We start from the raw sequence: 18,819 nt of genomic DNA, 5'->3' as shown, positions 1-18,819 counted from the left end.
TGCAGGCTCTGTGGCTTCAGGCAAGTCATTTCACTTCTCTGGACTGCTCATTACTTCATTTATAACAGGAGGATAAGCCTATCTATCTTCGGGGTTGATGGAAGGATTAGAAATGGTGTATGCAGGGCTTGCGTCCCACAGATTCCCGATAAATGATATCAATTATCTGCTCCCTCCAAACTCCTCACTTTCTTCTAACCATCTCTTGTGAAAAGGACAGAATCACACAACTCCTACCCATGACTCCCGGCAGGTCTGTGGAGAGGTCCAGAGAGCAACTGCTAGGGTCATCCCCTTCCCGAGCTCACTGGAGGACAAGAGGACTCAACACGTGTCCTTGTGTCCTTTAGAGTGACAGATGCCTGGGTTTGCCTAGGACAGCCCTGGTTTGCACTGCTGTCCTGCAATCATTTTTAGTAGGATATAGAAGTGTATTCGTTTGGACAAGAACCTAAACGTTCATCCTACAAAGAGGGCTGAAGCCCCATCTAACTGTGCAAAGTGACACAACAACACGCCACCAATGCTGTGCCCAAGCTGTGGCTTTCTGCCCAGTTTCCATTTAAAACTCTGAAGCTAAAGTTGCACTTCCTCCAAAAGATTAGGTCCTCCCTCACTGGGCTCAGAGTTAGCTCCAAAATATCTGTCAAGGCCTCAGGGACAGTTTCCTCATTCAACTCTCTCCTTGCTTTAAGGATGGACCCATCCTACCTGCTTTTTCATCCCCTGTGATTTCTGCAGCTAATGAGCTAAGGTACTAAATAAATAAATAACAGTAATTAAAAAAAAAACAAACTCCCAGCTGAAGCAAAAAGGCATGAGATATGCCTGTCCACACAAAGAAGCTGCTCGCCTCTGCCAGAACTGGCTAATAATGGGTCCTCCCTTTGCTTTCAGTTCTGCTGGGTCCATACTATCCCTTGGTTTGACACTACAAAAGAGGAAGGAGCCACCAGCCACACCCGGCTGGAGAGAAGAGAGCTCTGCCCTCTGCCAGGCCTCTCCCACGCTGCACTGCTGGGCATGGTAGGCCCTACATGACTAAATGCTTCCTTAGCCGAAACACCCACTGGGGAAGAATTTGTCACCAATACTTCCAGCAGCACGACCCTGCAGCCCTGCCTGGAAGCTCAGCAAACTGCAAGGCAGCGGGGAAGAGGGCAGAGGTCTGGTTCAGCGAGGAATGCAACCCCCCTAGCAGACAATGCAAGGAATCCACCATGAAAAACGGAGGGGCTTGAATTCAACAGCACAGCAATGGCCACTTATAAAGTTGGCCTCATTTGAATGCCAAAAAAGGCTGAAAATTCAAAGATAGCAAGAGTTATTGATTTGACGGGCTGTTTTCTGGGAACACTGCTTTACATCTGCAGGGCCAGATGTGTTGTCAAGAAAATCAGGCTCCAAATTCTCCAGAGATTATTTGGAGGAGGAAAAAAAAAATAGCGAAAAGTAAAATTTTTATTTTCTTGCATAAGAAGTCTTCTTACAGGATTATAAGCCCTATAAGCTACATTATACCTTTTTTTTTAAGATGGGGTCTCACTGTCTCCCAGACTGAAGTGCAGTGGCACAATCATAGCTCACTGCACCCTCAAACTCTGGGGCTCAAGCAATCCTCCTACCTCAGCCTCCCAAGCAGCTAGGACTACAGGTATGTGTCACCACGCCCAGCTAATTTTTTATTTTTATTTTTAGTTATTGATTGATTGATTGATTGATTGATTTTGGTAGAGACAAGGCTTCACTTTGCTGCCCAGGCTGGTCTTGAACTCCTGGCGCCTTCAAGTGATCCTCCCACCTCAATCTCCCAAAGTGCTGGGATTACAGGCATAAGTCACCATGCCCAGCCAATAAGAAAGCTTCTTATACATCGTTGTTTTTCCTGCTATGTTCAAAACGCAAACTCATGTACATAGGCTTGAAGTTGAAACAATCCTTGAGACTTCTTCCTGATCTCACTAAGTGACAGTGAAGTGAGATAACCCATCTGGAATCAGGTGGCATGCAACTGCATCTTTGGTATATGAAAGATGAACAGATGAATGGTCAATTGATAGATTAGATAAACAATAGATATATACAGATAGATTAGAAAGATGATAGATTAATGATAGATTAGGATAAGTAAAACAGATAAGTGATAATCAATAGATATAGAGACGATGGATTAAATAGAGATGATAGACCATAGGTACAGACAGATGTCATATCAAGATAGATATAGACCAGATAGATATATATCAATATATAGATAGATTAGATAAATGATAGGTAGGTAGGGAAATAGATAGATGGTAGATTTGGTAGACGATCATTTCGTAAGCTTCTGGAGGCCACCTGGCTATAGAATTCACCTATCCCAGGTCATGCTAGATAGATAAATATATATTAATAGATAGATAGAGATAGATGATAAAAAGATAAAGATGGATACAGACAGGTGTGAGAGAGAGAGAGAGGGAGATCTTTTCACACTTGTTCCAAAGGTGTCACAATGATTACTTTCAAATAGTATGGCACAAAAAAACTCACTTTTTCCATAGTCGTAAGACATAAGAATTGATTGTCTCCACTTTACACATGTGGAAATAGCCATCTAGAAACACATTAGGATGATCACGCTCAGACAGAAAGCACTAGAAAGGGAAGTTAAACTTAGATCTGATTCTTGGAGCGCTCCCATCCTGTCCTGTTGAGTTACTTACAATCCCATCCTCTGAAGCCTGGTCCAATAAACCGTGCCCAGCTGTGGGAGCGGGGCTGGGAAGGAGGTGAATGGCTGCCTTAAGAGTCCATGATTCTATGTTATTATCAGGCCCTTTTGATTTTTGTCTCACAGGCTCCCCACAAGGAAAGATTCCAGTCCTGACCTATCATTAGAGAGTGATTAGGTCATAAACACTACAGATTCAACCTAAAGACAGTAGGGTTTTCTCAGGGAAACCAGCACAGCAGGTGGCCACAGGCTGGGGACAGCAGTCCACATTCCAGTTCCCCTCTGCCCCCGGCACCCACCCTGTCCCACCAGCCAGCCCTGCTCTTGCTCATCACCACTTACTCCAAGTCCTAACCAGTGCCCTTTTAGGGAATTAGCCAAGTAAAACCTTCCCGAACACCAAGGACAGCAACTGAAGGAGGAGGCTCTTTCTGGTGACAATTAGCTCAGCCCCTCCATGGTTAAGCTTCTGGGGAGCATCTGGCTGTAGACTCCACCCTGGCCAGATAGCAACAGTGTGATCCCACTCCCTTCGTGAAGAGGACAGGACAAAGCAGGGAGCAGAGGGCAGCTCTGGGTTTCGGAAAATCTTGGCAGACATTCATTCGGTTTCAACAGAAGTCCAACTATCAGAACAAGCACTGGGATCCATGATTCTTAATCCCAGCTATCACCTTGAGGCTTTCAAAACGACCAATGCCAGGCCCACCTAGAACAATTAAGTCAGAAGGTCTGGTCTCTGCATTTTGTTACAACTCCCCAGGGGATTCTAATGTGCAGTCAAGGTTTTTAAACCACTGCCCTAGTTCATTGCAAAATTCTCTTAACTGGACAGCAGCCTCAGCCACCGCGACCCAACCCCCAGCAACATCCTCTCTGTCATTAGGGGGAACACTTAGTCATATTCAAAGAAAGCTACCTCCCAAATGGGTTAACCAGAAAGAACTCTAATTTCTACTCACTGTCACTCCCCTTTATCATTACCATGGCAGTTAAGACGCTCTAAAAGCAAGGAATTTAAGCAAATGGCTTCACCCAACAATCACGGAGAGTCAAAGACAGAACCCTCAAAACCTAAAGAAATCAGTAATCACTTCTTAAGAAGAGAGAAAGGTCAGCTTGGGGAGGAAGAGGAAAAAAAAAGGGAGAAACAGCCCTTAATGGGTGACTTGGGGTCAGAGCCATGGATGGTTAAGTCAGAAAACACAAATCCCTTGGCCACCCACAGTCAATCTTCCCTTTAAAACTAATGTACCGGCCGGGCACAGTGGGACATGCCTGTAATCCCAGCACTTTGGGAGGCCGAGGCGGGTGGATCACCTGAGGTCAGGAGTTCGTGACCAGCCTGACTAACATGGTGAAACCCCATCTCTACTAAATACAAAAAAAATTAGCTGGGCATGTTGGTGCATGCCTGTAATCCAAGCTACTTGAGAGGCTGAGACAGGAGAATGGCTTGTACCTGGGAGGTGGAGGTTGCAGTGAGCCAAGACTGCGCCATTGCACTCTAGCCTGGGCAACAAGAGCAAAACTCCGTCTTAATAAAAAAAAAAAAACAAAAAAAAAAAAACTAATGTACCAAACAGGCACAGTGGCTCACGCCTGTAATCCCAGCACTTTGGGAGGCCAAGGCAGGAGGATCAACGGAGGCCAAGAGTTCATGACCAGCCTGGGCAACATAGCAAGACCCCATCTCTACTAACAAGTAAAAAATTAGCCGGGTGTAGTGGTGCACACCTACAGTCCCAACTACTGGGACAAGAGGATTGTTTCAACCTAGAAGTTCAAAGCCGCAGTGAGCTATGATCGCAACACTGCACTACAGCCTGGGTGATAGAGTGAGACACCGTTTCTAAAAAATAAATAAATAAAACTCTCTGCACCATTAATTTTTTTAAAAAGGGCAGAATGCTCACCTATTATGGGCTGTCATAAAAAGCTAAGAAAACCAACCCAAACCTAGGCAGGGAAAATGAAACAGGTGCTCTACCCTGGTTCCTGTCTTGAACAGAGAGAGGGATATTAAACGAAACTACTAAAAACTTACAGTGTGGTTAGGTGTTTTCTTAAGCGACTCCGTGGGTATATGCCTGCTTACTAAACACCCTTTCCCCTACAACTCAACACGGAGGCTACACCAGGACCAATCGCATTGCAAGCTTTGCAGGGGAGGTGGGCAGAGGGGGAGGCAGTGCCAGGATGGGTTGGTTTCCATCCTGTGCTTCCCCAAGCTCTGGGATTCTCCAGAGGCAGAGGGGCTGCCATGGGGGGATGACAAAGAGAAAGCGGAGAGGATCTGGACTCCCCCACAGCCCACCTGCCACCCACCATTCCAACCAGAGCAGTTCTGCATTCATCAGTCTCATATCTCAGGTGGAGGGGGTTCCACGCAAGGTTTCACATGAGAAAGGGTTGCCCCGGGACAACAATGCTAAAGCTATCATGAGTAGAAGGAGTAACGGGTCTGGCTCCCATCAGACTCATTGGGCAGCTTCTCTGGCTGCCCCCACAGCCAGCTCCAGGCATGCAGGGGCCTTAGGAAAATGGAGAGGCCACGATCGCTGTCCTCAGAAGTCTCTGCCCAACTCACTCAGCCAGGACATAGGACAAGGGCACACTTAGACACATGTGTGTCGTGGAAGCTTTCATCTAGCAATAAGGAACCCTGAGACCCGACCACTGAATGCCTGACCCTCACATCCAAAGGTCAGGCAGAACTTGCTGGAGCCTAGCATTCCCATGGGCCCCACCTCCACTCCCGGTTCCAGCTGTCAATCAGGCCAGCAGGATCGACAGGAAGTTCCCAATAGTCTGTGTGACCCAGCTTTAGGGCAAGTCAGAGTCTAGGCTCTGGGAAACCCCCAGTGCTGTGACTCTCCATGTAAAACACCCATAGGCAGAGTAGGAACTGGGATGAGGGCACCTGAAGGGGTGGAAGATCACCACCCCAGTGAGTCAGGCTCATTTCCAGCACTGTAACTGCCAGCTCCCAGGGCCAGGTGGGGGCAAGAAACCCTGGGACAGTATGATAACTGCCACAATGTCCACGAAACAGAGTCTAGACACCCACTTGGGGATGCCCTTGCTTCTGGAAGGGCCTAGAAGTTCCTAACCCCCACAGGCCTACCCAGCCTACCTGGCTAGCCCAACCCAATGACTCCCTTCACAAGAAAAGCATTCGGTAAAGTGTGCGTGCTGGACCTTTGGGAAGAGCTGTGCTGTCTCTGAGGATGCTCCGCCATCCTTCCCCTGTACCGCACCAGGCATTAGGAGATCCCTCCGCTCTGCTCAGTGCCAGGCATTAGATCGGCCCAAACTATGCCAAGGGGGTGGATGGATTCTTCCAGTCCAGCCGTTCAAGGCCGAGATTCACGCAGTGACACCTGAGGGTGGATGGATTCTTCCAGTCCAGCCGTTCAAGGCCGAGATTCACGCAGTGACACCTGAGGGTGGATGGATTCTTCCAGTCCAGCCGTTCAAGGCCGAGATTCACGCAGTGACACCTGAGGGTGGATGGATTCTTCCAGTCCAGCCGTTCAAGGCCGAGATTCACGCAGTGACACCTGAGGGTGGATGGATTCTTCCAGTCCAGCCGTTCAAGGCCGAGATTCACGCAGTGACACCTGAGTGGACCCAGGCTCCCGGCATCTGCTTGCAGAGGGCACCCGTGTCCTTAGGAGAAATGTGTGACCTCAACCATGTGGAGACTGAGGGGACAAGGGGAGGAGCACAGAGAACCAGCCCACACCAATGGCCCATTGGATAACGTGGCTTTCTAATCGCCAGGCCACAGGCAGATTTTGTGGCAACAACTTTGGTCCTGGACTTTGAAACTTGGGTCTGATGTGGTCGGGCGTTTTTGTAAACACTTTCTAACCCGAGTCAAATGAGTGCTGCAAAGGGAATAATCAAAGTATCAATTACAGACACATCCATATTACAGTGTGTGCATGCGTTCACACGTGTGTACTCGCCATAAGGAGGGAGCAACCCACATGCCACATGGATGAACAAATGACAAGCCGTGGATGTACCGCAGTGACATTCAGGAGCCACGTCCCTTCAGGAAGCCACCTCACCTTCCTCCCAGCCCTCCTGCCTCCATGGGGAGGCTCAGTAGGAAGAGCCGGGACAAGCCCAAGGCACTGGGGGAATGACTGCTGGGTCCACTGTGGTGCTGGGACCATGTGATTTCTCCATGTTGTGACCCTCTGTACTTGGAGAGCAGGCTTTCTCGCAAGAGGACCAATGAGAGAGCTGCTGTTCCCACCCTCTTCTGAAGAACAGCCCAGACAGAGGGAGCTGTCCCATCCACAACCACAGGCCATGCCTGGGCTCTCGGCTTCCTCTTTCTGCCACCCTCCCCCACCATGACCAGATCTGACCACAGGGACTCAGGGAGCTGGGGCTGCAGAGGGAGCCACTGCTGAGCAAGCGACAGCTTCCATCAGGGTGAACACAGTCCACGTCGGATACCTAAACCCTCCTCCCTCCTTGTGACACTAAGTCTCTTGGCATCACTCAGAGGAAGCAGGATATCAAGTATCGTCAGTGTATTCAGTCATTCATTCATTCACTCACTCATTCATTCACCCATGGGCATTAACAGAGTGCCTCTGAGGAGTGAGGCTGCCCAGGCGGCAGGAAATAGGAAAATGTAAGAGACAGAGGGGCCTTGATTGAACCACACGCAAGGCTGAATGCCACCTGGGCTGTGGGATAAAAGCCCAACGTTTGCGAAGAGGCCACACAGCAGCCACAGATCACAGGAGATCAGTGAATGGGAAGCACCCAGGCTGGGCCACCAAGGGTGATGAAGCTTCTAGAAGCAGGGAAAGAAAGGGAGGGCATCCCTGGCTGAGATGACAATGCAAGTCTGGGCTGGGGCAGCAGGAATAGGCCGCGTCGTGGAGGGTTCTGACACTTGGGCTGATTCTCTGAGCAAGAGGGAGTCACTGAAGGCTTCAGAGGAAGAAGGCGGCACAATGAAAGCTGCACCAGAAAAACAGCCTGGCGAGAGGCAGGAGGTGGGGGACAGACAGTAAGACTCCTCAGAGGACAGGGCCAAAATCCAGGAAGAGGTGACAAAAGTCAAATCTGTGTGGGTAAGGGAATGAGTGCAAGAGGTAACACAGAGATGAAAGCAACTCAAGGCAGCACGAGGACATGAAGATGCTAGGATGACTCTGCAGATACCGCCAGCACAACCTCCAGCGAGCCCTCTCCAGGACTGGGCACCGGAAAAGCAGCAAGGAGCAGACAGGGAGTCCAACTGGGGACAGTTGGATGGAGGTGCCTGATGCACATCCAGGGAGCCACAGCCAGGGGAGAAGTGACAAGGCTGGTACTCAGGAGGGAGGGCCCCTTCCAGCCCTGCGGCAGCAGCACCTCCCCTCCTCCTCCCTGCTAGAGTCCAGTCCCCATCTCTGCTGTGCGGTGCTACCCAGGGACCAGGAAGCCTGCTGGGTATGTTGTGCCTGAGGGTGCACCTCCTCTAGAGAGAGCCTGGAGTTCAGGTGAGCAGAAATGACATTCAGAGCAGTGGTTCCCAAGCCCTGGAGATCCAGAGTGTGCAGATCCGGCATGCACCCCTGAAAGTCATGCTTTCAAAAAGCTCCCCAAGCACCAGATTCGAATACAGAGTCACAGACCCCACCAGCAGATTTGCTACTTTAACCAGGTAAGGTGGGACCCAGGAAGTGTAATGTTTCAAGATGCCGCCCCCAGAAGCAACACACAAAGCACACAGTCCGCCAGCCACGCCTAGACAGCGCCTGCTCTCAGTGAATACTCAGGTCAAGCCCTACGGCAGCTCAGCCTGTTTCTCCGGCCATGCGGGGGAGAGTAGAGCTCAGTGTACAAGAGATGGGAGGGTGTCAGTACCCAGCAAGGATGGAATGACAATAGCTACCACATGGGAGTGCTCACTACTGGGCAGATGCTGTTGTGATGCCACCACAGTCCACCTTTGTCAAAACTTGCCCCATTTTGCAGATGAGGCCACTGAGGCTGAGAGCAAAGGTGGCCCCAGGGCAAGCGGTGAGGCCAGAGCTACAGGTGTATGTTCCACACCTGGCCACCTGCACCGACGCACAGGGTAAGTGTTGGCAAGTCGTGTCTGTCCTTCCGGCCTCAGTCTTCCCCTCTATAAAATAGAGGTAACTGTTCCCAGCTGCTTCCTAGAAACTCTGAGATCCTGAACTCAAATGACCATGAAGGCCCTGGGAAGTCCGTAGGGTTTTCCCCAAGCAGCAATGCGGCCGCCCCCGCAACCCCTCAGCCGGTCTGGATGCCGCCTGCAGGGTATGTCTGCAGTCTCTGCCCACCCACCACTGGGTGGAAAGGGCAAAGGGCGTTCCCCCTGCTCCACACTGAGTCCGCCTCATAAAGATCTCATTGTGTGATTCTCAATAGCAGGCTCTGTTTAATGGCAATAATATTATCTTCTGCTGCTGACATGCCATCTCCTTTTTTAAACCGAGAATATTTGGCTGTGTTTTCCTCTACATGCGGCGCCATTTCAGACAGAAAGGAGTCTCCAGGGCCTGTGACCTGGGAAACGCAGAGCCAGCAGGGAGGCAGGCGAGGATTTACCCGTGAGGGCAGGTGACATGGTGACATGGTCTGGAGAAGGCCAGAAAGCCAGGAGGGTGGAGTGCCCAGGGGCGGGGTGGCGGGGAGTTGGGAGGAAGAGGGAGATTTTTGTACCAATTCACTTCAATTTTTTATTTCAGCAAGCAGCAGTGGGCCTGTGAAGTTTTCAAAGTGCCCCAGGCATTTCTTTCTGGACTCAATATATTAAGTCAAAGAAAGTAGCAGGTCTTAGGTGCCAATGAAGTGGCATTAAGCTATTTCTCTTTGCAAGGCCTCCTTCTCTGTAAAGCAAATCCCAGCCACTCACTCACTTAAAGCAATGCAGAACGTCTGGTCAGCAAACAGAAAAAGGATAAAAATTCCTCAGTTCCTCACCTGTATTATTACCATTCCCTCCCCCGGGGAAAGGCAGGCTAGTAGAAATTCTACAGAGGTCAGTAAACATAGGTGGTTATTTGCAAAAGTAGTTAGTACTTTTCTCAGGCTATAAAAGCAATGGCATTTGGGGGTCACAATGCTAACCATACACTGCCCCCTCTGATGACTTTTATTCCTTGAGGTTCGCTCATTGGATGCCCCACTCTATAGCCAGATCGCATCACACAGCCTCCGTGCAAATGCCATAGCATTCTGGCCAAGGAAGCAGAGCAGGCGGTCAGACTCCTCACTCCCCTTTCCGGACCACCTGCCCATAAGGCCATCTGCTGACTCTTCTGAGCTCCCTGGGCCAGGTGCTGCACTCAGAGGGGGATGTCCCTCGTCCCTAAACAGAAGGAACCCATCTGGATGAATGGAAAAAAGGCCACAGCCTCTGAGGGGGAAGACGAAAGAGAAATTCGGGGTGGTGGCAAGAAGGTGATGCTCCTGTGGTGGGGAAGGGAAGGCAGGAAAGAGTCAAAAACAAGAACAAGAGTGGGGGCCTAAGCACGGGGCGAGCGTGTGGAGGGAAGAGGCAGACCCAGGAATGCAGGACAGGAGATGGTGGGCTGAGGGATTCTTTCCAGCAAGTGTGAGAGAAAACAGGGACTTTCTGTATCTGCTGAGCAACATGTACTTGATGAGAGGCAAAATCTCTCTGAGTTTCAGTGAATGAGTTTCAGTGAATGGCCAAATGTAGGGGGCTGGAAAGGACTTCCAGGGTCATGTAGCACAAATCCCTCACTGGAGACACACAGCTAGAACACAGAGTAGGGTAGTGACTCAAGGTCACACGGCAAGTCAGTGTCAGAAGGGGGCCAGCACTCCAGACTCCTAACTCCTGGCTGGGGGCATTTCCCTCTCCAATGATAGATGACACTGACCATTCACTCGAGAATTTTTTTGTTTGTTTTTTTTTGAGACGGAGTCTCACTCTATTGCTCAGGATAGAGTGCAGTGGTGCAATCTCAGCTCCCTGCAACCTCCGCCTCCCAGGTTCAAAGATTCTCCTGCCTCAGCCTCCCAAGTAGCTGGGACTCCAGGAGCATGCCACCATGCCTAGCTAATTTTTGTATTTGTAGTAGATTCGCCATATTGGCCAGGCTAGTCTCAAATTCCTGACCTCAAGTGATCCACCCACCTCAGGCTCCCAAAGTGCTGGAATTACAGGCATGAACCATGGTGCCCAGCCAGAGAAATATTGTTTTTAATGGCTTATTGACTGTCTGTGACCAATCCAGGGGCCTGCAGGGTCTCCCTGTGAACTCCAAACTGAGGCAGATGATCACCCTGACTTGGCCTTCCCGGCTGACACCCGAATAGTCTAAGCTTCTCCAAGTTCAAGTGTTTCTCCACAGTCCGCCCTGGAGGAGAGGCAGAAACGCCCACAGGTGCCAGTGATTCCCCAGCAAATGACAAGGTGCAGGCTCTGCTCTCCCTAGGTGTGCATGAAATCTCCCCCCGACATCCCTGGAAAATGGCACCCACTAGGTTAAAGGGCAACATGTACAGCAAGACACAAGTCGCAAGGCTTACACTTGGAGGCTTTTCTCAGTGGTGCCAAGAAAGCTGAAACAGGAGAGAGCTGTTCCTGATGCTTCAGACCCTGAGGGCCAGGACAGAGAGAACGCCAGAGGATGAGTTGTGATTTAAAATGCGGGGCAACTCAGACTAGGAGGGGATGGCAGGGCAACATTCCTCTAGCTCAGGCAAGATAGAAAAGAAGCTTCCAGATAGACCCCAAAGCCACAAGCAAAAAGACCACCACTCGGAAAAATAACCAGTAAGAAAGGTTTTTCTATAGCAGAAACAGCTAAGTTCTTTCTACTTAGACCCTCTTCTGAACTGAACTGCTATCTTTTCATATATGACAGACTCCACGTTGACTGTCACTCTTGGATGCAATCTGTTTTTTAAAATATGTATCTGACGGGCCACTATGCAGCTTGCCCACCTCCTCAAAAACAAAATGACATTTTTCAAAAGGACAATCAGTGGGCATGCTGGAATCTAGCAGTTCACAAGCAAACTCTTAATATTATGTGTGCTGTGTCACAGTGCTGTGAATACAGTTCAGATTTAGTTAAACAAAAAGCACAAAGCGGCCAGGCACGGTGGCTCATGCCTGTAATCCCAGCACTTTGGGAGGCCGAGGCAGGCAGATCACCTGAGGTGGGGAGTTCGAGACCAGCCTGACTAACATGGAAGACCCCCGTCTCTACTAAAAATACAAAATTAGCCAAGCGTGGGGGTGCATGCCTGTAGTCCCGGCTACTCGGGTGGCTGAGCCAGGAGAATCACTTGAACCGGGGAGGCAGAGGTTGCAGTGAGCCCAGATTGCACCATTGCACTCCAGCCTGGGCAACAAGAGAGAAACTCTGTCTCAAAAAAAAAAAAAAAAAAAAAAAGCACAAAGCCCTTGGAGCAATACGTAAGGGGCACCCAGCTGTGGGTGTCAGCAATTTTCATATCTAAAAGACAATTACCTGTGGGTCCCCCTCCAGACAGGGCTGCCCAATTCCTTTTATGTTAAACTCAGCCTAGAGAGTATCGTCTCCATTTGATTTTCATATCAGAGGAACAGGAGTTCCTGCTTCAGCATTTCATTTGTTGCAGCCCATCCTCATTCTAAAAAGAAGCACTCTTAGGAATTTTTCTGAAAATCTCAATCAAATACTTATGCTCAATGGCTTAAAGTTGGTGGCATTGAAGATGACTTCAAATGCCGTGTTTTCAAAACCAAATCACATTCTAGGGTCAAGGAAGACAAAAGTCCACATGGAGAGAAAGCAAGAAGTCATTCATCTTACCAAACTCCTTAGAACCATATTCTCTAGTTCAATGGGAGAACTTAAAATTTGACAGAAAATGAGCATAAATAAATAAGACAAATGGTTAACACATCCTCACCCCCTTATTTGGTAGATTGAACTGTGGCTCAGGACAGCAAGTTTTAGAAGGAGAGAATCAAACAATAGACTTATTTGCAAACTCTCACACTTCCTAAGCACTACAATGATGATTTTTAAGCTTCTTACTGATCATAGTGGTTCCCCCAGCCAGGGCCGCCTTGGTTCCTTGGAAGAAATCATCAGCAGACGTCATTCCCTGATCAGGCATCTGGAAACGAGTGTGGACGTCAATTCCTCCGGGGATCACCATCCGGGAGTGGGCCTCGATGGTCTTCACTCCTCCTGGCACAATCAGATTTTCTCCTATTTGCCTAAATAAACAGGGTTGGTGATAAGGGTTGTAAATGAAATGTGGACTCAAATGGGATCTGACAGCTACTTTCACTAACCTATAAACTATCCTCCGCTCTGTGCCGTGGGCTTTTCAGATCATTGTTACGATTCATAATAAAACACTATATACTCCTACCCCCCAGCAAGAGGCAATGCAGAGTATACTAGAAAGCAAAAGTTAAATAAGGCACCAGAGGCCCCACTCAAAGACGTTTTGTTCCCAAGAAACCCCCTAAGATCAAATGATAACAAGGCCCCAAGATATTTCTAAGAACTGTCATTAAACTTTCTTTACAGCACTTGCAATTGAGCTAATTATCCTATAGCAATTTTCTCCAGACCTGGCCGTACTTTCCAAACATTTATTTTTATCATATCCTTTTCACCAGAAGGAAAATAGGGGTGGAAGGGTGAGGTAGAACAAATCAAAGCAAAAAAAAAAAAAAAGTGAACACTATGATTGCAATGATTTAAAATTTTGGAAGCGTGTGTTTAGTTATTCAGATAATGAAAAAGCTAACAGCTGAAATATAATTTTAAAAGGCAGAAAAATGAATATTCATTATGTTGGGAGACATGATTCATTTCCAACTTTTAAAAAATATTTTTATATCTTTCTACCAATTTTTTAAAAGGAATATTAATCTAGGAGAAGTTGATAAAGTTCTAGAACAAATCAGTGATGAGTAAAAACAGCACACAGGCCTGCACACTTCTGGGCCAGTGTCATTCTACCAGACCAGATCGTGCCATCTTATAATTGGGGGAAAATGGAACATCAAAGTCATGGCATTTGAGAGCCTGGAGCTGAGACTGTCACAGCAAACACACATGGAGAAAACATTAAACGTGGAAATGTTAAAATCTATTTTAGGTTCATAAATCTGGGTGTGAGCTCCCAGGCAACAGTCACAGCCACTCCAGTTTTCCACTCCTCTGGACCGGTTTACAGCTATCCCTTGATGAATGCTGCTTATTTAAAAGCTGTCACTGGCTGCAGTGTTTGTCTTCAAACAGATGTGCTATTTCTCCAGAGCCCCGGGAGCTACCCCAGTAGAAAGGGCAGGCAGATACTGGGATGAACTCAGCTTCCTTAACCCTCTGGCGTCCAAAAATACCCAAACTCAGGAACTGCCCTGTTGCTTCTCCTTTGTAACATTAACACAATAAACACAAGGGCAGTCTTATTTGCACTAGTTGCCACTTAGAATAAAACCTAAAATTCCCTCAGGATTTAGGCAGTAATTTGTCTGTATTACTTAGTAATTAACTTGGTATCTTTCTTTGGCCCCTCCAACTTGGATTCTTGATGAAGAAAGCAGATGTGCTGTCTCAATAGAGGAGACTGTCTTTCACGTTTGCGTCCTTTGGGCAATCCAACCCAAACAATGACATTCTAGGCAAAACTTTAATATATTCAACATATCACAAACCAAGTATTTGAGCTGGCAACAGAAAGATATCATATCACCTCAGTTAAAAATAGTAAATTACATAATACCTAATGCAACGGGTGTACATTAATTGTTGCTTTGAATTCCCTAAATTTGAGTTTTCAAATTCACTAATTACCACCAATCAAAACCAGTTTAAAACAGATACTAAGTTGGTCACTCTCTGATGTTCCTGAAGTTTGATACTTTGGATGCGAATGGTATCTAATACTTGGGAAGTCTGGAAAGTGTTCAAATACATCTGTATATCATGAGTTACACTTACTTGATCAACCCATCTTCCATGTATATGTCTGCATAGAACGACTGGTCATCATTAACAATTTTACCTCCTTTGATCAGAAGACGATCGCTCTGAAACAAAGAGGCAGTAAGGTCACAACGCGTAACTGACCTATGAGAAACAGGTGCTAAGATATGTGAGCTAAGGATACATTTTCACTGTTCAAAAGTGATGTTCAAAATAAGCCCATTTTGGAAAGGTTCAGTGACAAAGGTAAGCCTGTATGTGGCAACCTATTCATCACCTGATGAGTCAGAACACACAGGGACAGCTTATCCTAGATAAACGAACCATCTCTTTCAATTAGACCTTGGACTCCAAAGAAAAAAAAAAAGCAGTGAAAATTATTTCATATAAAGAAGATAGGGCCGGGCACGGTGGCTCATGCCTGTAATCCCAGCACTTTGGGAGGCCAAGATGGGCGGATCACCTGAGGTCAGGAGTTTGAGACCAGCCTGGCCAACATGGTGAAACCCCATCTCTATAAAAAATACAAAAAATGGGCTGGGCATGGTGGTGGGCGCCTGTAATCCCAGCTACTCGGGAGGCTGAGGCAGGAGAATTGCTTGAAGCAGCAGGCGGAGGTTGTAGTGAACCGAGATCACGTCACTGCACCCCAGCCTGGGTTACACAGCAAGACTCCAACTCAAAAAAAAAAAAAGAAGATAGTACTTTTTAAAATGGCTTTTGGCTAAACCTCAATTTAAAAACAAACAAACAACAACAAAAAAAACCACCTACATATAGGAAAGCCATGTCTTGGAAAGACTGTGTCAAGCAAGCACAATTGACCAAAAAGTCTGCTGTCACGGGATATACCACACAAATACACTGGGTTCAACCATAGCAAGGTTTCCATTCAATATGTCCTTTATATTTGCATTTATCTTTGAGGTAAATCACAGCAAGTATAGCAAAAAGACTACAAAAAATACGCCATTGATGCCATTTTAACTAGGCTGTTAAGAAAAAGGTAAACTCCCACGAATAAGTATCTGAGATAGCAAATTCTAAGATGCAATGCACTACAGATTGCTGATGCACTTATATTTTAACCGGTGATATTTATGCTAAAAAATAAAGGACAAGCAGCAGATAAAGTCTGAGAATGTGACAGAAATGCTACATTATGACTCATCGTTATTGCAAATGCTGCTGATGGAAGGAATGCTGGCATCGAGTGTTCAGTAAATATGCACCTGTATTATACAGAATGGGCTTAAACCTGGCAAGCTGAACCATACATTGCCCTTTTAATATGCAACACATTTCAAAGAATGACATTCTTTTGGCAATAGTTAACTCAAAATTCAGTTACAAAACAATATTCTCAGCAAGTGCTACCTCTCTTTAGCAGCTACCAAGAAAAGGAAATCATAGAAAATCTTTAAAAAAGAGATAAGCTACTAGAGAGCAAGGAAAAAAGATAATTTTACACATAAATACACACACCTTGGTTCAGAAAGTATTTATTGTCTCTCTAACATACTGAAAACCAATAAGATCATTTTAATTTTGTACACTGCAGGGTCCCTGATCCTCACGTAGACTTTGGAAAGTCAAAGGAGAATAGCCAACAATAATTCCTGCACCTGTATAAGGTAAGTGTAAAGACCTTTACAAAGCCGTGCACATCATGACATCAGAGCCTCGAAAGAAATCTGTGAGGTAGATGAGGCCAGGTTCTATTCCCATGACACATAAGGAAACTGAGGCTCAGAGAGGTTAGGCCACTTGCCCAGGTCACTCAAATCAGTGCACTTGTCCTCTGTCTACAATGACCTCCACTTCTCTCCCAGATCTCTAAGCTTCCATGGAATAAATATCACCTGGAAGGCAAGGAGAGGCCTCCCCCTTCACCTCCTGCCTCCACAGTCACTGTGGTACCTGCCCCAGCCATCACCGCGAATATCCCGAGCCAACATGATGCCATGAAAAAAAGTGAAACACCACACCCCCGTTCACTCTAGTGCCTTCCAGAAGGCTCTTACATAAGAGGCTGCCAGTGGTGAGGGAGGGAGGAATACCATGCTATAGGTCCTATGATAATGCAACCAGATTTTTTAAAGGGTGTGGGGGGGGGGGCGCTCTTTAAAAAAAAAAAAAAAAAAAAAAGTCTTGTTGATCGTTTGCTTTTAATTTTTTTTTCTCCCCACACTGTCAAAATGAAGCTGCCTTGTTCATTCACGAAGACAGCAAATTATTTGAGGCTTGCTGCAAATCTGCTTTCCATCCTCCCTCCCCAGAGTCACCACTCCTTCCTCCTGCACAGTGAACACACAAGGGTGGGTGCCCCGTGCCCGGCCCTTTGGGATCTTGGGTCTTTTGCCTTCAAGAAGAAGCTAGCGCCCTTCTTCAGATCATCCTAGAAAATCCTCCGAGCACACGCCCCCTCCCCTATGCATTTGCTCCCCTTCTCTCTCCCGCGGATGGGTGTGCCCTTGTGCACGGAGAGGAAGCCGGGGTGCCCATGGCTAAAGGGAAAACCAGAACCAAAGAGCGTCCTTATATCCAGCCCTAAAAACACATCCTGACTGCTTTAAAAGGCTCTTTCGATCTCTGCCTCAGTCCTAGGTTCTACCCGGGAATCAGCTGGCCGGTTGCAATTGCACATCCTTATATAACAATGAATTTCCCTGGTGTTCCCCCCTCCCTGGGATTTCACTGGGGATGGAAAGAATAGGACGAACGAATTTTTCCAGGAAAAGATGGGGAGAGGGAGGGAGCAGGGGAGAGGTGGGAGCAAGACTGGTGCTGATCTCTGAGGCATCGCTAATTCACGGCACAGACGTTTTCCCCGTGGTTTGCAAACCAACAAGTCCAGGCCCCAGCACTGCGCCGAGCCCTCCGGCCGCCGCGATCATTGTCTGGCCGGGGCCGGGCCATCTGCTCCCGCGTCGCGCAGCGCCATTAGCGCCCGGCCGCTCGCCGCGGTCCCCGCGCCCACCCTGCAGTCCGCTTTGTATGCACCAACACGGACGCCTCCTGAGCGGCAGAAGGGGCGGAAAAGAGACGTGAAAAAGAGCCCGAATCCCCGCCAGGGCCCCAGCCCCGAACTACAGGGCGAGAAAACCGGGGGGGGGGCACCCAAAACCGGTTCCTGGCCAACAAGAAGCCCCCGCCTTGCCCCCCGCCTTCCTCCTCTGCTCATCACCTCGTCCCTGTTTTTCCTTCCCGTTTCCACACCATTCCGGTACACCCTGCCCTTTTCAGCATCCCTCTGCTGTCATTACGCCTTAGGGCTCAAACCCGCTCCTTTTTCCAAGGACCCGGAGAAGGCTCCAGAAAGCCCTTTTTGGGTGGGGGCGGAAGACCCGGGGAGGATCCAAGTCCCCATCTCCCCATCGCTGCTGGAGGAGTCCAGCCTCGCAGCACGCAGCCCAGAGAACAATATCCGAGCTCCAGGCATGCATATTCAATCTGGCATCCATTTGCTTGCACCCCGCGGGCCGACGCTGCAGCATCTCTCACTGACAATAAAAGATAGACCGGGTCTGGCGCGTTACCTAAGGCTACCTTCGTGCACTCGCGCTCCTGTTTAATGCCTTGCAAACGATGCGACTTCTAATCCTGGATCACTGCATCTCCCACAACCACCACCACCATCACCATCGCCTCCGTTAGCAACAGAAAGGAAAAAAAAAGTTCGGTCCCTCTCCTTTCCCCTCCTTTTTAAAAATTCCTTAGACCTTCTGTGCTACAAAAGGTGGCTGGCCGACCGCAGATTTCCCAAGTACCAAACTCACCGTGATGCGTGGAATATTTTTCTTCCCCTGATAAGACATCTCTCTCCTGGGAAAAAATTAATTTCAAGAGGGCAGCTTTAAGGCAAAAACTGCCGGGAAGGGGACTTGGGTTTTTTTTGTTTTGTTTTGTTTTTTTCCTTTGCAAGATTGAAAAGGGTGCAACCGCTTCGCTGGTCTTGCTATTAGGAAATTTCAAGAACGTAACGGATGAATGCAATCCTCTGTCTCTCTTTCTTCCTCTCCTCCAACACAGCCCCAGCTAGGGCGGAAAAAAAAGAGAGAGAGAGAGAGAGAGAGAGAAGGAGAGAGAGAAACAGGAGGGAAGGGGGTGGAAATAAACTACAGCAATAAAAGCCTCGGT

General features: G+C 48.0%; 1 protein-coding gene and 1 long non-coding RNA gene across 4 annotated transcripts in view, besides 4 other annotated features; both read right to left on the bottom strand.

Moving 5' to 3' along the window:
- The window catches only part of DPYSL2 (dihydropyrimidinase like 2), a 144,145-nt gene that overhangs the window by 61,424 nt on the left and 63,902 nt on the right, over positions 1-18,819 (bottom strand). Inside the window, exons 1-3 of one of the 3 annotated variants that reach the window (NM_001386.6) lie at positions 18,459-18,807; positions 14,695-14,783; positions 12,769-12,953 (exon numbers count right to left, since the gene is read on the bottom strand). In NM_001386.6, coding sequence (NP_001377.1) covers positions 12,769-12,953; positions 14,695-14,783; positions 18,459-18,497 — 313 coding nt within the window. In that variant the 5' untranslated portion in view covers positions 18,498-18,807. Of the gene's footprint in view, positions 1-12,768; positions 12,954-14,694; positions 14,784-18,218; positions 18,348-18,458; positions 18,808-18,819 lie in introns of those variants that run through there. The other 2 variants (NM_001244604.2, NM_001197293.3) reach the window with 2 other exon arrangements.
- Positions 1,423-11,892, bottom strand: LOC124901916 (uncharacterized). Its single transcript, XR_007060865.1, has 2 exons — positions 6,343-11,892; positions 1,423-6,282 (listed from the first exon to the last, which is right to left on the bottom strand). It is a non-coding gene; the product is annotated as an uncharacterized LOC124901916 (long non-coding RNA).
- Positions 4,678-4,727: a silencer, noted in NCBI's record as "silent region_19045". NCBI's record gives its function as "represses an Ori minimal core promoter by ATAC-STARR-seq in GM12878 lymphoblastoid cells {active_cell/tissue: GM12878}" and the evidence as "EXISTENCE:reporter gene assay evidence [ECO:0000049][PMID:35858748]".
- Positions 4,940-5,545: an enhancer, noted in NCBI's record as "H3K27ac hESC enhancer chr8:26448723-26449328 (GRCh37/hg19 assembly coordinates)". NCBI's record gives its function as "activates a minimal SCP1, AML or CMV promoter by ChIP-STARR-seq in naive and primed H9 embryonic stem cells {active_cell/tissue: H9 hESC(naive and primed)}" and the evidence as "EXISTENCE:reporter gene assay evidence [ECO:0000049][PMID:30033119]".
- Positions 16,881-17,775: an enhancer, noted in NCBI's record as "NANOG-H3K27ac-H3K4me1 hESC enhancer chr8:26436493-26437387 (GRCh37/hg19 assembly coordinates)". NCBI's record gives its function as "activates a minimal SCP1, AML or CMV promoter by ChIP-STARR-seq in naive H9 embryonic stem cells {active_cell/tissue: H9 hESC(naive)}" and the evidence as "EXISTENCE:reporter gene assay evidence [ECO:0000049][PMID:30033119]".
- Positions 17,776-18,670: an enhancer, noted in NCBI's record as "NANOG-H3K27ac-H3K4me1 hESC enhancer chr8:26435598-26436492 (GRCh37/hg19 assembly coordinates)". NCBI's record gives its function as "activates a minimal SCP1, AML or CMV promoter by ChIP-STARR-seq in naive H9 embryonic stem cells {active_cell/tissue: H9 hESC(naive)}" and the evidence as "EXISTENCE:reporter gene assay evidence [ECO:0000049][PMID:30033119]".

Source organism: Homo sapiens, chromosome 8 (genome assembly GCF_000001405.40).
Source record: "Homo sapiens chromosome 8, GRCh38.p14 Primary Assembly".
Lineage (NCBI taxonomy): Eukaryota > Metazoa > Chordata > Mammalia > Primates > Hominidae > Homo > Homo sapiens.
This window is presented reverse-complemented; position numbering and strand designations above follow the sequence as displayed.